Here is a 17438-nt window from a genome sequence, read left to right as displayed (position 1 = left end):
TCAGTCATGTCATTCCCATACTAAAAGAAATTGTCTCCAAACTCTTTAGTTTGGCTGCCAAGATGCTCCAAAATAATCAACCGAACCATTCATCCAGGCAGCCAGCCAAATCCATCTTACAGAGGGTACTAATCATTAAAAATAAGAAAATGATGAACTGTACACAATGTCTATAAACTGGGCAGTAGATAATCAATGACACAAATCTAATACCCTGGAAGAGTTCAAAAGAGAATGGAATCACCCTGTTTGAGTGCCCACTGAGGCTACACAGGTGCTCTGGTTTGGGGATTCAGGGTCAAATAGGCAGGTCATGAGCCAATGCAAGGTGTAAGTTTACAAATGGGCCCTATCCTATACTGACCCGATTCATGACTCTTGCCAGGGAGATGTTAAGAATGAGGTTAGATTGTGAGCTTCCTAGGCTGACTCATAAGCTCTGTGAAAACAAGCCTTGTGCAAGGATCATATCCAATAGTCCCTCATGTCTAGCACTACCCCTTACACAGGAGCCAACTGTGGAATGTATTAATTAATAAATAATTCAAAAGACTGTAGATGAATACCTGTCTTGCTGTTTATAAAACTCGTTCTCAACAGGGGGCAGTTTTGCTCCCCATGGCATAGTTGGCAATGTTTGAAAACATGTGGTTGTCGTGACTTGAGAGGGGGTTTCTACTGGAACAGTGGGTAGAGGTCAGGGATGCTGGTAAGCATTCTACAATGCACAAGACAGTCCCCACTCCCAACAAAGAATTGCCTAACCCTAAATGTTCATAGTAGCAAGTCACTTGGTTATAAAAGATCACTTCAAGTATCTTTGTTTCTCTCATCTGGCATTAAAAACAACAAATTTAATAGGTGGAAGGAAGTGATTACTTTGCCAACATGTATGATCTAAGGAATTTGGTAAGTAACATGATAATCTCATTGGCTTTGGCATATAGGTCCATTATGCTAATGAAATACCTGGCATTTTCCTTCCATTGGTAAAGGTCTAAAAAGACATTCTAAATCTCAAAAGAAGAATTTGGCAGAAACCAAATGTGACCATGAAAGAAATGCCCTGGGAGAAACCTACCATGAGCACAGACAACTAAGTAGAAACTTAGATCTTCAGGTTCTAATGGTGATTAAGTGAATCCATAAGAGGCTGGTTGTGTATGCATCTCAAGTCCCCTAGTGCTTAAAATACTGTCTTCTAGAGTTGCCTTGAAAGTGAAACTACAGAATTCTTTGAAGTTGGAAGCAATATAGTGGTCTAATTTTATGAAATAGAACATAAATACGAATGTTTACTTTTTAGCTACCATGAAAGGCAAATATGTGGACTGCCAAATTGCACTATGGTTCAATAGGAGAGATGAATATTCTCCATAATGCCAACCCGTTGTTGACTTCATGAAGGGGACATTCCCCATGATGACTCAGTGTTCTTAAGTACTCTGACAATTGATGGAATACATTCCAGTGTAATACACAGTCCTTTCAAGCCTCCCTTGGGTTTTCCAAGTTTTCTTTATGTCAACTTTGCCCCCGGAAATAAAACCCACATACCTTGGCTCAGGTCACTCCATGAAGGCAAAACAAAAAAAACAAACCAAAAACCCTTTTTGGAAAGGTTCCTCCTGGATCCCAAAAGCAAGGGTTGTAGAGTGAATTGGATTCAAAACCAATGCATTTTTCAGAGACAGATTTAAAAGTGTACCTTTGTTCCTGCCACATAAAAGAAAAGCAAAGCTTTGTTTAATGGTTAACAATTTTTGGCAGCTACTATCTTTTAAACCACTCCAGGGCCAAGATGACTATCTGAAGAGGCGAATTACAGATCATTTATACAGGAGATTATGCCATGTTGACCTGTTCTGAAGTTTGATTTTAAACAGTGATTATATTCTTATTGTGCAGGTTACATTTACTTGAACCTTCTTATCTGTACTAAACGGTAACAGAGCAAGCAAATACATTTGTGCAAATGTTGAAAAAGAGCTCAAGGCTGTAGGAATCCATATAGGTTTGGATTGAAGAAAAAGCCTGTTCCAATCTGGAATTTAAAATGAACCATATACTTAAAAAAATCAAAACAGAAATCACCAAGATGCTGATCTTCAAATCTAAATATTAATTACTTTTATATGACTTGGCTGTGAGCTAAACCACATTTTAAAAAGATAAAAGCAATAATGGAACAAATTCACAATAAAGTCTTGTCTACTTACTAACTAAAGTGAATGAAAGAAAAAATTCTTGTAAACAAAATAAAGCCAAAATTGTATTTGGATGAAACCTCTGGGACAACACACACACACACACACACACACACACACACACACACCCCTCTTTTTTTTTAACCCCAATATTTTGGATTTGTTTTTTTTTTTATTATTATACTTTAAGTTTTAGGGTACATGTGCACAACGTGCAGGTTTGTTACATATGTATACATGTGCCATGTTGGTGTGCTGCACCCATTAACTCGTCATTTAGCATTAGGTATATCTCCTAATGCTATCCCTCCCCCCTCCCCCCACCCCACAACAGGCCCTGGTGACACACACACCTCTTGATAGTGTTTTATCAATTCCATAGTTGTGCTAGGGGCCCACTATGAACAAACCTTATTTGTAACAATGCCAGGTGAGAGAAGTGATCCCTTCTGTCTGTTGGCCAAATAAAGAATCCCTTCCCATTCCCCTACTACCCATTTGTCCTCTCCCCACTACCCTGGACTGGTAATGCCAACTCATATATTCACTGCCAACAGAACCAATTGGCTGTACTGTCCATTAGTGGCAGGCATCTTTTAACTGTTTTGATCTGTCAGTTAAATGATATGCCAATTCAATGTTCTTAATATCTGCCTTATAATTCCCAATTGCTGTTGTATAACAAAAATATAATTTGAATAGATAAACTATAGCTCAGTAAAATCTGAACTGACTTCAAACTATTTCTGAAAATTGAGTGGAACCACAATCATTTGAAAAAAAAGTAGGACCTTGGATTTTATAGCTTCCACTTCATATCATAAGCAAATTAAATTTAAACAAAGCAGTTTTTTAAAAGACATGCTTGAGGCAATTGAGGATATTTGAAAATAGACTGATTATTAGGGGATATTAAAGAATTATTGCTAATTTTGTTATATGTGATTACCTTTGCTTTATTTTTGAAGTTCCTCCAGGGATTCGTATTGAAATATTAACTAATGAAATAAAGTATGAAATTTGCTTTAAAGGACTCCAGAAACAAAATTGATGGTGGTGACTGATGAAAAGAAATGGCAAATACTGACAACCATTGAAGCTAGGTGATCAGTTCACACAGATTTATTATACTCTTCTGTCTAATTCTGTACAAGTTTTTTTTAATGCTGGGAAAAAAAACAATAACAACAAAACAGGTTACCTGCTAGATTTTAAAAAACAAGGTTAAAAAAATACAGTTGAGGATAATTTAGGGCATCAAAACTTAAAAGGACCGCAATGAGATATCACTACACAGAATGGCTAAAACTAAAAGAAACAAACCAGAAAGCCTGGCAGTATTAAATGTTGACAAGTATGCAAAACAACTGGAACTCTCATATATTGCTGATGAGAAGCCAAAACACTGGGGTCTGTTTGAAAAGAGCATAGCGGTTTCTTATAAAGTTAAACACAAAATTGTCATACAATGCTACAGTCCTACTCCTAGGTAATAACCCAAGAGAAACTAAAATGTATATTTGCACAAAAACCTGTATGTGAATGTTTATAGTGGCTTTATTTATAATTGCCAAAAACTAGAAACTACCCAAACATCGACTGGTGTGAAACTACACAAACATATAATTGGTGCGTGAATAAACAAACAGTGGCATTTCCATTCAATGGGATAGTATTCAACAATAAAAGGAACAGACTACAGATACATGAAACAACATGGATGAATCTGAAATTCATTATGCTATGTGAAAAAAGCCAGAATCAATATTCCACTTATTTGACATCCTGAAAAGGCAAAATTGTAGAGACAGAAAAGTGGTCAGTGGTTGTCTTCAGGTGGAAAGAAGAGCTAACTACAGAGTCAGCACGAGTGAAATTTTTGGGAGTGAAGGAATTGCTGTGCCTTGATTGCCGTGGTGGTTACACAAGCTTATGGGTTTGTCAAAATTCAGAACAATACACTAAAAGGATTAATTTCCCTGTATGTAAATGATACCCCAACAGAATTTTTTAAAACTTAACTGGGAAATTTTTTATATGCTCCAATAAAAATTGTTGCAATTGATTCAAACTATAAGGTTCTTATGTAGCATATTATAACACTTTTTTCTTCTCTTATATCTCCTTCCCTCCCTCCCTCCTTGCTTCCCTCCTTTCCTTTCCTTTTTCCTTTCTCCTTCCTTTTCCTTTTCCCCTTTCCTTTTCCCTTCCTTTTTTCTTTTCCTTCTCTTCTCACTCGCTTTCTCCCTTCTCCCTTCCCTTTCCCCTTCCTCCTTCCCTTCCCTTTTCCCTTTTTGAAAATAGTGGGACTAAAGGATTAAGTATATGAAATTTTATGTCTGTATTGCAGTGGGAGAGGCTGTGTGACAACGTAGTATTCTTCTTGGACTCACCTCCTAGCCTTACCTTAGAGCAGGGATCCCCAACCCCCAGGCGGCAGGCCGGTACAGGGCCGCACAGCAGGAGGTGAGTGGCAGGCTTACCTCCTGAGCTCAGCCGACTGTCAGATCAGCGGCATTAGATTCTTATAGGAGCGCAAACACTATTGTGAACTGAGCATGTGAGGGATCTAGGTTGCGCACCCCTTATGAGAATCTAGTGCCTGGTGATCTGAGATGGAACAGTTTCATCTTGAAACCCATCCCCGAATCCGTGGAAAAAAATTGTCTTCCAGGAAACTGGTTCTTCTTGCCAAAAAGGTTGGGGACTGCTGCCGGAGAGGGATCACGACTTCCTAGGTGTCTTAACCCTGGCTGCACATTAAACCCACCTGGGACCTAAAATAATCTAATGAAATACTGATGCCCAACCTCCAACTCCTAAGAGATTCTGCTTTAATTGGCCTGGGGTGGGACACAGGGATCATATTTCTTAAAAGCACTCTAGGTAAAATCTAATGTGCAACTAGGGTTGGGAATCTTATATTAATTCACTTACGATATTTTCCTATGTTAATTCACTTAGGATAATGGCCTCCAGCTGCATCCATGTTGCTGCAAACGACATGATTTCATTCTTTTTTATGGCTGCATAGTATTTTATGGTATATATGAACTACATTTTCTTTATCCAGTCCACCACTGATGGGCACTTAGGTTGTCGATTCCATGTCTTTGCTATTGTGAATAGTGCCAAAGTGAACATAAAAGTACATGTGTCTTTTTGGTAGAATGATTTATTTTCCTTTGAGTATATACCCAGTAATGGGATTGCTGGGTCAAATGGTAGTTCTGTGTTGAGTTCTCTGAGAAGTCTCCAAACTGCTTTCCATGGTAGCTGAACTAATTTACATTCCCACCAACAGTGTATAAATGTCCCCTTTTCTCTACAGCCTTGCCAGTGTCTGTTGTGTTTTTACTTTTTACACATAGCCATTGTGACTGGTGTGAGATGGTATCTCATTGTGGTTTTGATTTACATTTCTCTGTTGATGTGTGATGTGGAGCATTTTTTCATGTTCGTTGGACGCTTGTATGTCTTCTTTTCAGAAGTGTCTGTTCATGTATTTTGCCCATTTTTTGATGGGGTTATTTATTTTTTACTCTTTCAATTGTTTAAGTTCCTTATAGGTTCTGGATATTAGACCTTTGTCACATGCACAGTTTGCAAATATTTTCTCCCATTTTGTAGGTTGTCTATCTACTCTGTTGATAGTTTCTTTTGCTGTGCAGCTCTTCAGTTTAATTAGGTCCCACTTGGCAATTTTTGTTTTTGTTGCAACTGTTTTTGAGGACTTAGTTATAAATTCATTCCCAAGGCCCATGTCCAGAATGGTATTTTCCAGGGTTCTTATAGTTTTAGGTCTTATATTTAAGTTTTTAATCTATCTTGAGCTAATTTTTGTGTATGGTGAAAAGTAGTGGTCCAGTTTCGTTCACCTGCTTATGGCTAGCCAGCTATCCCAGCACCATTTATTGAATAAGGAGTCCTTTCACCTGGGGATCTTGTTAAAATGAGATTCTGATTCAGTAGGTTTGGAGTGGGGCTTGAGACTCTCCATTTCTAACAAGCTTCCAGGAGATGCAGTGCTAGAGATTCTCAGGAATCAACTTTGAGTTGCAAAGACTAAACCAGTGTTCCCTGAACTTGGCTAATGATTAGAATCACTTGGGAGGCTTGTTTAAATATAGAGATTTTCACCCTCCTTCCCTGGAAATTCAAATTTAGTATGCCTGGTTTGGGGCCCATGAATATGTCCTGTAGCAAAGGACATAGTGACTTATCTTCGGAATAATTAGGGAATATTAGAATCCTGATTTGTGGATTTATAATAGGCCATTTGCTGTCTTTGGCACAGTGTTAGCTGCCTTTTTCACTCTTACTTTTCTTTTTTCTAAGTTAATCCTATCAAAGGAACATGTTCACACAAAAAGTTGTACACAAATGTTCATATTAACATTATTTATAATAGCCAAAAATATAAACGATGCAGATGTCCATCAACTGATGAATGATTAAAATGTAGTCCATCCACCCAATGACATATTTTTCAACTATAAAGAGGGAAGAAGTACTGATTCCTGCTACAACATAGATGAAACTCAAAGCATTATGCTAAGTAAAAGGAGTCCATCACAAAAGACTACATATTGTATGATTACATTGATATGAAATGTCCAGAATAGACAAATCCATAGAGACCAAGAGCAGATGTGTGGTTCCCAGGGACTAGGGGAAGGAGGGAACAGCTAATGACAGCTTAGAGGGTACAGAGTTTCTAATTAAAGTGATGAAAATTGAATTAGATAGTTGTGACAATTGCACAACTCTGTAAGTATACTAAAAGGCACTGAATCATTCACTTGAAAATGGCAAATTTTATGGTGCATGAATTATATCTTGATTTAAGTAAAAAGACTGAAGTTTCACCGATTAAAAAAAGGAATACTCTCTTTTGATTCACATATTCTATAGACCAAGTACCAGGTTTTTGTCTTCAAGGTGGCTTGTATATGCAGTTGATCTCAGCCTTATGTGTTGATATTATTGTTCTAATTGCTGGGGTTCTGAATATTTGCTCTCACTTATATGAATTGCCTTTAGAAAGTCATTTGCCATTTTTTATGAAGATATGAAATTATTGATCTTTTATGTTATGGGTAGGATCAATGTTAATGAACTTTGTATCCTGATGCCTGGCATGTAGCAAGGATTTTATATTCATTAATGTTTATTGAATGAAACATTATTTTAGATGAAAGCAAGTTCTGTTTAGTTTGAAGAGATGGTCAGACTTCCTTTTCTGAGTTATTCAATTCTTTTATTAAAAATTTTTTACCTCTATATTCCTCCACTTTGGACTAGAAAGCCTACATTACAACTTTTAAACCTTAAAACGATTTTCGAGTTGCATGCAGCTCTGTGAATTCCTTCCAGCTAAATATTCCATCACTCTTTTGTTCATTAAAAGAAATGTATTCCGGCAGCTCAACTTTGTAAACAACTTTGCAATAAAAAACAAGTGTTCACATACGATGAATGAAAACAATTTTAGACAGGAAATAAGCTTCAGGTTCCAAACTCAGTGCCTATGTTCCAACTAGGAATGTGATTAGGAAAATATTGGATTGGGGATTGGGAAGTCTTTTCCCTAAATAATTAACTGAAGACTTTTCTGTTCCTTCAAAGTTGAAAGGAATAATGGATTTCAAAACCCTTCCTTTTCTGTGGTCAAGAAAGGATTCTTATATTAGGTATTTATATTTTTAAAAATCTAGTTATTATCCTTTATTTTGTGGAATGAGAAAAGATTTTGAAACTACTACTGTCCATTGAATACTTTCTCAGGCAGCTGATGGGGAGTGGAAATAATAAATCTGGACTAAGAAACCCTGAGTTCTCATGCCAGTTATTTTGCTTTCCTATGATGTTACCTTGGAACTTCAGCAATTTAGGATAATATTGCCTAACTGGAAAAGTCACTGTGAAGTTTAATTGATAATAAGTAGAGGAAACACACTGTGTAGGGGCTAATAACCCCAGATGTAATCAATCAAACTAAAATAGTTTATTGAGCTCCTATATTATGTACAAACTACCATACTAGTGTTGATGACACCCTGAGGATAAATGCTTAATGTCCCTACCCTCACAGAGATTATAATCTAGTGAGAGAAAACAGACAACTTCATAGGCAATTGAAACAGTACTTTTATTCTTCCTGGTCTTCATTTATCTATATGAGTGACTTCAGTGAGGTTTTGTGTGGTCATTTTCAAGGACACTACAAGTAAACAGGGACATGTGATTGGGAAACCAAAGAGTTCTGACTAATAAAACCGTAAGTGATACTCTGAATATTCCATGGGAAAGTAAGTGAGAAACTGGAACAGCTTAAAAGGCTCTGAGGGGCCGGGCGCAGTGGCTTACGCCTGTAATCCCAGCACTTCGGGAGGCCGAAGTGGGCGGATCAAGAGGTCAGGAGATAGAGACCATCCTGGCTAACACAGTGAAACCCTGCCTCTACTAAAAATACAAAAAATTAGCCAGGCATGGTGGCGGGCACCTGTAGTCCCAGCTACTCGGGAGGCTGAGGCAGGAGAATGGCGTGAACCCAGGAGACAGAGCTTGCAGTGAGCAGAGATCACGCCACTGCACTCTAGCCTGGGCAACAGAGCGAGACTCCATCTCAAAAAAAAAAAAGGTTCTGAGGACTAAGTATTCCACTATTCCACCAACTAGGAATTATCCCCCAGGTGGAGAAACAGCACTCATTGAGGATCAGTACTGCAATCCTGCCTTATTGTAGAGGTAGGTTTCCCTTGCAACTTTTTAGCATGTTAATTTCATCAGCCTTTCCTGTTTTATGGAAATGTTAGATTGTAACTCAACGAGTTTCGTAATGAGTTTCACAAGTTCTAAAACCATTGAGGAAGTATGTCAGCATTTTTCAGATTTTCTTTTATTTTACAAAGAAAAATCTGGAAATACACTTTCCTCTCACAGTCAAGGAATTAGAGTGGGAAGTTTTGATCTAGATGAAAGTAGTACTGCTGGTCTGACTCAATTTTTTATTAACTCAAACCTTTGAAGCATGAGTTTGACTAATGTGTTTCTGAAGCTCCATTGTCTCTGTTCTCATGGATGTCTAGGTACTTACTTGGTTCCTGTGCATTTCAGGATTTTATGAAATTTCTCAATGTACATATGGATAATGTTATTCAAATCCACAGCCCAGGAAATGATTGTAGCTATGATATTTCCTCTAAAATCTTAGAACACTTCAATAATACCACATTTACTCGAAAATGCACATATTTTACTAATCAGAGAATACACTGTTCAAATAATTTTCTTAAATATTGAGGTAATCTTTCAAAGTGAATGCCTCCATGAAGGCTTCTAATTTATACACCAAGAAAAGCCCCAGAATATCTTGAGGTCAACAAAAAGAAACTGAAATAGGAGTCATTGCATGTGCTGAACACCTTTCTCAGCTCATGACTTGCAGATTTGTAAAAATATTGCAATTTGAAATACTCCTGATTCACATTGTTGCTTATGTGACACAACTGAATATTTCTGTATCTGAAGACCAATATGATGGTAAATCTACCCATTTTCAACTGGAAATTCCTGGTTTTTAAATCAAAACCTCAGAATGGAGTCCTCAAATTGCTTAGTGGTGAATATTTTTCAGTGAACCCATATCTTACAACCACATCTGCTGAACCATAAGGTTTGTAAAGCTGTGGTCATTCTACAAAACTGTCCCATGGCCTACTTAATTTATACCCAAAGGAAAGCATGAATATAATAATTGGAATTTCTATAGCCCTAAAACCCAAGTGATTCTATAGTCTGTCTACTGGTTTGGGGGTGTGAAACTATTATTTTTTTCACAAGGTAAAAGCAAATTGCTGAAAAATTCTTAGATGAAAAATAATTTGCATAATATTTCAATTCCAATGTTACAAAATAGTAGATTGTGACATGAATCCTGTATGTCTTATACCAATATTCAGTCTAATGAAATTTAAAATGTGAAAACATCTTTTTGATATTTCACTGAAATTTATTCCTTTACTTCACATTAAATCTGTAAAGTGTGACATGTGTTTGAAATTAAATTTCCAGGGAACTAATAGAACATTATGGAAATTGAAAATATTGAAAGGTAATTTTTCTTTTTATTCATCTCCCAGATGAATGGTCATGCATTTTGTCTATCTTGCATTATATTTGTGTCTATTTAAGTTCCAAGGCTGTCAAAATTGTAAAATATCATAAAATTAAGTTAACAAAGAATTCTAAAGTGTTTTTATGCTACTTGAGAATAAATATACAGAAATATTTTCACAGAGATTCCAGTTATAGGGAAAGGATTTCAAAGATTCAAGAAAAGCCCAGAGGGTACAAGGAAAATGGAATTGATATCTCACTCCCAAAAGGATTAGTTTAACATTTTCTATATATTTTAACCCTCCTAGAGTGAAATGATTTGAAGTTCTCCCCTGGTTCATCCTCCTCTATTTAGTCACTATTATGTTTTAAAAGCTTATATTTCAAAGGTATAATGTTTAAGGAGAACATTAAACAAAACACCAGGCCAGAGATGAATCAAAGGATGGAGAGAATGTTAGCATTTCCTTTATTTCAACTTACTGAAATAATTTAAGGCAAGAACTTGGTTCAAATTACTCATATCATAAAATTTCAAGTTAAGAGGTCATTTAATAATAACAGTGACTTGTATTCAATTTTGGTTCAAAAAAATTTCAAGAAACTTCAACATAATGTACTTCTGAACTCTAACTACCAAATAAAAGTGTGTAATGTATCTAATTTGGGGAAACGTACTATAAATAACTAACTTGATTAAGTTCCAAAGTAATGCTTACCCCTCTGTCTAGATAAAAACAATAACTAAAGTAACTCAAAGACCCTATCATTAGCAAGAATTCGTAAAATTGTTATGCCTCATTTTAAGTGACTATAGTCATTTTTTTAGTTCTCTGCCCCTTGGGAAGTTTTCAAGTTGAGACAGGACTGATCAAGAGGTAAATTATACAGTGCTCAAATTGTGCTCTGGCTACTACTGCAAGTCAAATTTTGCCATGGCCATTCCTTTACATAATGTATATGGTCATGTTCATGTAATAGCAGCAGAGTTGAGTTGTTGAACAGAGACTATACAGACTATAAAGCCTAAAACATTTTCTTTCTGGCCATTCACAGAGAACAATTCTGATGATACCAGCTGATCTTTTTGTTTTCTGGGTCTATTACGTTTGCCTGGATTCCCTGCTGTCATACAAAGTCCTCTGTGTTCAGTCTTAAGCCCCATAAGATTTTGGCCTATTTTCCTTATGGAATTTTGTCACTGGCCTGCCACCTTTTGCTTAGATTCTTTTGATATTGACTGGTTTCATAACCAAGCATCAATTGCCACTCACCTGTTCAGCCTTTTCTGCCTTTATACTCTCTGAACCTCAGAAATACTTTTGTTCCTGGCTAGTGTTTCATCTTCTTCATCTTCAGATGGACACCACCAGGAACAACCCCCTCCTCACATCATCTCCACCCTGCTGCATCCTAAACCTGGAGTTTAGGTGGAAACTCCAGAACTTTTCACGCCCTGTGAATGGTTTTTTTTGTTGATTTTTTTTTTCTTTGAGACAGAGTCTCACTCTTTCACCCAGGCTGGAGTGCAGTGCACGATCTCAGCTCACTGCAACCTCCACCTCCTGGGTTCAAGCAATTCTCCTGCCTCAGCCTCCCAAGTAGCTGGGATTACAGCTGCATGCCACGATGCCTGGCTAATTTTGTTTTTAGTGGAGACACAGTTTCACCATGTTGGGCACGCTAGTCTCGAAATTCTGACCTCAAGTGATCCACCTGCCTCGGCCTCCCAAAGTGCTGGGATTACAGGCGTGAGCAACTGTGCCCAGCCCTGTGCATGTTTTGCTTGTCTTTATAGTAGAATACTCTCAGTGGATGGTGGTCTAGTATCATATTGCTGGGATTACAGGCGTGAGCAACTGTGCCCAGCCCTGTGCATGTTTTGCTTGTCTTTATAGTAGAATACTATCAGTGGATGGTGGTCCAGTATCATATTCTGAAGATCCAATCAACTATGCATGCTGTTCTACCAGTCTACCTCAAATTATATACCCTGTTTCTATCCTTTCAATATTTTGTCTTAAATGGAGGAGAAACAACAACTGTACCTTACAGAATAATTCCAATGAATAAAAGTAAAAAGAATGATGGAAATTAAAAAATAGAACTTCTAAATTGAGTAGTTCAAAAATAGAATTAGTAAACTATAGTGGTAATTGTCTCAGGAAAAATCCACGAATGAACGTTAAAGTGAGTGGGTGATAGTCTAGGCAATAACAGGATATTTGTTTGGATAGTATCTCTCCCAACATATTTAATAATTACAAAGAGAAAATAGTAAGTTTATTGTAGAGAATTCTGGCAGACACCAGCTTAGCTAGGTGATCTAGGAGTATTATTTCCCCAAATGTGAAACCTCATTCTAAATCATGAGAAAACATCAGACAAACCCAAATTGAACGACATTCTACAAAAGAAGTAACCAGTACTCCTCAAAAGTGTCAAAGTCCTGAAAGACAAGGAAAGAAAGAGAAACTCACAGAACAGAGGAGACTAAGGAAATGTGACAAGTTAATGCAATGTGGAATCCTCACTGGATGCCTGCAACAACAACAACAAAAGACATGTCTTGATTTAAAAACCTCTCAAGGGACAGGATTTCTTTTTCATCAGTGGGGAAACTGATGAAATATGAATAAATCCTGTACTTTGGATTTATTTAAATGGTATTAATACCATTTAAAATGGTATTAAGCTAAAGTCAATTTCTTAGTTTTAATAAAATTTTGATGGTTATATAAGATGTGAAGGATAGGGAAAGCTAGATGAAGGATATATGAGAACTCTTTGTACTATCTTTGAAACTCTTCTGTAAGTCTAAAATTTATCGCCCAGGAAAGATGAACTGTTAAAAAGAAATTGCGTCTTAAGGGGGTGAGGGATAAGAGACAACAAATTGGGTTCAGTGTATACTGCTTGGGTGATGGGTGCACCAAAATCTCACAAATCACCACTAAAGAACTTACTCATGTAACCTAACACCACCTGTTTCCCCAAAAACCTATGGAAATATAAAAAAATTTTTTACAAAAGAAATTGCATCTTGATCCCTGAGGGGTGTCTTGTTGTAGGAATCATGTTAACAAAATTAGTTCCAGAAGTTCTCTTTTAATTCTTTTTCACTTCCTTCTACCATTTGTGCTAATTCTTCAAATAAGAGTTTCTCAGGGCTGACAGTATGATTAGCTAGTTTTGTAACTGTGTTGAGATTGCCTCTTCTTTCTAGCATGAGGTTTCTAGAGTCTAATAGCTGATGATGAGTCTCCTCCTTTACAGCAGGGCTCACACATTTCCCACTCAGGAGGCCATGTCTCCCCGTGGAGAGCTTGTTCTATATATATTCAGGCTCATGGTTGGGGGGACAAAACAGAAATGAAAATACATTGGGAAAACATATCACTAGTCAGAAAACTGCCTGATAATGTTTGGGGAGGTATCTCATGTCCTGAAGAAAACCTATGGAGCTGTTTTCCACTGTAGAAAATACTGGAAGGTAAAGTGGAATGATCACATCTTCTCAAGAAGAGCCTATTGGCCAAACCACATGGGGAAATTTTGGATGAATTCCCTTCTCTCAACTCAGCCTATTTTCAGAGAAAAGTATTTATTTTCAGGTATTACTTTTGACATTCCTTCCTTACTCGTTCAGTATGTATTTGGGCTCCTCCCGTTTAGGGTGCCATGCTGGTCAGTACCTCATGACCAATATTAAGTGGTCCAATAAAAGAAACCTGAGACTTCAAATTGGAGAAGCTGGTTTCCAATTTCATCCCTAGCTGTCAGTACATCTCTGGCGTATGGTATAGAGCTGTGGCTCCCCTCAAAGACTGACTGATTTCTTAGACATTTAAAAATACAGATACCCATTCCACCTTTGGAGATTCTGATGCAGTGGGTTTTGTTTAGAATTCTGGTATTTGGAAAAAAAAATAAAACATGTAATATGTAGCCAAGTTTGAATTTCCAAAAGATGCTTGATCATAAGCCTCACTAGGAGAGCATTTCAAAACATATGACCTCCCAACTGGAGACTGCAGGGCTGGTGGAACTCAAGAATCATGATTTTTCCCAAGTTCCACTGGTGATTATTATGATCCTAAAGTTTAGGAAACGCTAATCAAGAAACTAAATTGCAATGCAGGCTTAAATGACTATGGAAAGCACAGTACAAATGAAGGTTGTGTTATCTTGCAGTATCCACTGATGATGTGTTCAGCATAACGCACAGCCAGAATAAGTGATGCCCTTGACCGAAACCAGTACTACATTCATCTTTTTAAGAATTTGATATTTCTGAGCTTATAGGTGCAGGAGGAACCTACACAGGGAGTAGTGCAAGTGAAAAAAAACACCATTCCATCCAGTAAAATCATCAGAATCAGCCCTGGGGATCAGGATACTGATGTTTTGTAGCTATCATTGCTTTATATGCAGACCACCTGAGCAGAAAAGTGACTGTGTTCTCATGAGATGGTGACCCCCACTTTCCAGGATAAAATCAGTAGACTTCAGGTCATCCCTTGAACATAGAATGTCCCAAAGTGCCTACCACAGAGCATTACTGCTGTATGAGGGTTATAGCTCTGTGAGAGAGGTAATTCCATGAAAAAGGAATTGTGTGGACAAGTAACCTGTTGGAACACAGCATTTCATTTTATATTCATCTCTTGGAGATCCACAGCACACATTAGCACTTTTATGACTGGTAAGTCCTGCATGCCTGATTAACATTGTTTAATTCAGCATTTTTAAATTAACTTTAATATGGTATTTTTAAAAATAGGGACATGTGAAGAATATGCTTCTTGGAGATATCGTGAGGAACATTATTCTAAGGTGCTAATATTGTGCTGGGCTCCAGAAGGATTATTTATGGGATTTAATACTGATGACAAGGAACAGGTGTTTACTTTGTTCTAAGAAGATGAATTTTTAAAACTGACTACAGTGGAAAAAAATTTTTTTAAGTAACTGATGAAAATAAACACATAGGAAAAAAGAAAAGAAAACAATTTTGTTTTATAGGTCACCAATTATATTGTGGGACTTAGGAAATCAAACAAACAATAGGGTCCTAATTTGTAAATCAAACAACAGGTATTTAATAAATACTATTTTTACTCTTTGCTCTGTTAGTTGCTGTGCATACTACAAAGGGATATGGGGCACAGAGCTTATGATAAATTTATGATATTAATAGTGAATATCTGTTGAGTCCGTAATATGTGGTAGGGTTCAGTCCAGTGCTTTACATGTATTATCTCACTTTATACCTACAACAGCCATATATGGTAAGTACTGCTATTATGCCCATGTTGTCTGAGGTCTGGTCCAGGACCTTTTCTAAGTCACACTGATACTTGGTAGTGAAGCTGCTATCTAAGGCCAGAAGGTTTCACTCCAGAAACTCCAAGCTTGACCATTATGCTACACAGCTATCAAGCTGCATGCATGGGTCCTCGCTAACTAGGCATGTGGCAGAGAAGATTACCAGGCTTGGGAACTCATTAAAAAATATATCACTTGCTGCAGCTTTACTTTAAAAATCTCAGCTTTGCTCAACTTCAAATGTGTGTGTGTGTGTGTGTGTGTGTACGCATATGTACATATGTGGTGTGTGTTATTTGGTTTAATCAACCAATATACATCCACAGTATCCCATACATTTGCTTGCACATTCCTATCTCTTCAAAGAAGTTTCTATTCCTTGTTTTTGTAGGAGCTCTTTGTCTTTAAAAAAAAAAAACAGCTTGGCTGACTTCATTTTTATGGTCCCACTTCAATGGCAGGCCGCATGTGAAATTTCAGTCTTGTTTGGGCTCTGCACATGGACAGATTTCATAGTCTGTCATTATTTCCCAGTGACATGGAATTAAAGGCCTTTCCTTGTGTTTGTTGGCAACTTTTGGTTCCTTGGTCATATTGGGGTACTATAAGCATGAAGCAACCCTGCTGGGTTACCAGGAATTTTAGTTTAGCATGCCAGATATTATTTCAGGCAAACCCTATTTGTTCATTTTCTTTTGGTTGACTTTGGTCTTTGGACTTTTATCTTTGGTTATTTATTTGTGCTTCTGTTGTTTTAGAATGCAAGCTTCCCTGTTCTATAGTATCCTTTCAAACTATTAAGTCGACCATGAAGACAACAAAACATCCTTATTGCATTATCTTTCCTTGTGTCGCCTTACCCCACAGCTTCTTGGTCGGGGGCTAGAGTAAGACTTGCTACTGACTGGGTGCCAAGCTGTTCACCATATCATGTCTGTTAACTGTACACATGGTGAGAGCTCATGTGCAGGGTGAGGGGCATCCGTGGATAAGCCCCTTCCCTTCCAAATCCCTTCTAGAATGACTTTCCCATTTCCTGTCCTGCTGATCGCACCCTTGGAGGGGATTTGAAGTCTGGAGTGTCTTTGATGTTTTCTTCTGGCCGTGCCAAAGCCTCTCCAGGGGACAACAGCCTCTCTCAAGCCCGTGCAAAAGGGTTTTTAACTCAGATGCGTCTGCCAAGTAGCTGTGTTTCATCCCTCTCTCTTTGATGTCCATCTAGCATGGTGCCTTGTAGGCCTCACCCAGTGCCTGGCATGTGGTGAGACCTTATTACCATTGGCTTATTATGGAAACTTGTGTAGAAAATATTTCTGGAACTCCCCCTCCTCCTATGGCAAGTTTATTTTCTTATTCCCATTCCATCTCTTTCCCTCTCCCCTCTGCTGTATAGACATTTGCCAGATGTGATCAAACTTCAGTAAAATTGAAACAAAACAAAACAAACAAATAAGTAAACCCAGGATGTAATAAGAGCTGCTTCCTTTAAATGGCAGACTGCAGGGTTGGAATACATTTGCGTGTCACTTACTGAGAATCTGTGGTTTCAAGGCTTTATATCTTCCTACAAGGCTTTGGACTCATTCAATAAGCCCAGCTTACGTATATTCTGTTCTTGTTCTTTCTGAGATTTGAGAAAGGTATTTATGGAGGGGCTGATCAAAAAATGAGGTGTTAACAAATTGGACAATCCCTTTCACCACCTTTTGACACATACATGGATATCTACTGACAACTTCCACCACGTTTTTAAATTTTATGCTTACTAGTTGGTTTCTAAAT

General features: G+C 37.5%; 2 long non-coding RNA genes across 2 annotated transcripts in view; one reads left to right on the top strand and one right to left on the bottom strand.

Moving 5' to 3' along the window:
• LOC124905244 (uncharacterized) overlaps positions 1–1660 on the bottom strand; it is a 28519-nt gene extending 26859 nt beyond the window's left edge. Inside the window, exon 1 of the long non-coding RNA XR_007068390.1 lies at positions 1558–1660. This is a non-coding gene — a long non-coding RNA (uncharacterized LOC124905244). The remainder of the gene's footprint in view (positions 1–1557) is intronic.
• Positions 1–17438, top strand: part of HCCS-DT (HCCS divergent transcript) — a 263596-nt gene that overhangs the window by 208513 nt on the left and 37645 nt on the right. The window lies entirely within an intron of this gene.

The sequence above is a fragment of the Homo sapiens genome, chromosome X (assembly GCF_000001405.40).
Source record: "Homo sapiens chromosome X, GRCh38.p14 Primary Assembly".
NCBI lineage: Eukaryota > Metazoa > Chordata > Mammalia > Primates > Hominidae > Homo > Homo sapiens.
The sequence above is the reverse complement of the archived record's forward strand: the minus strand, read 5'-3'. Positions and strand labels throughout refer to the sequence as shown.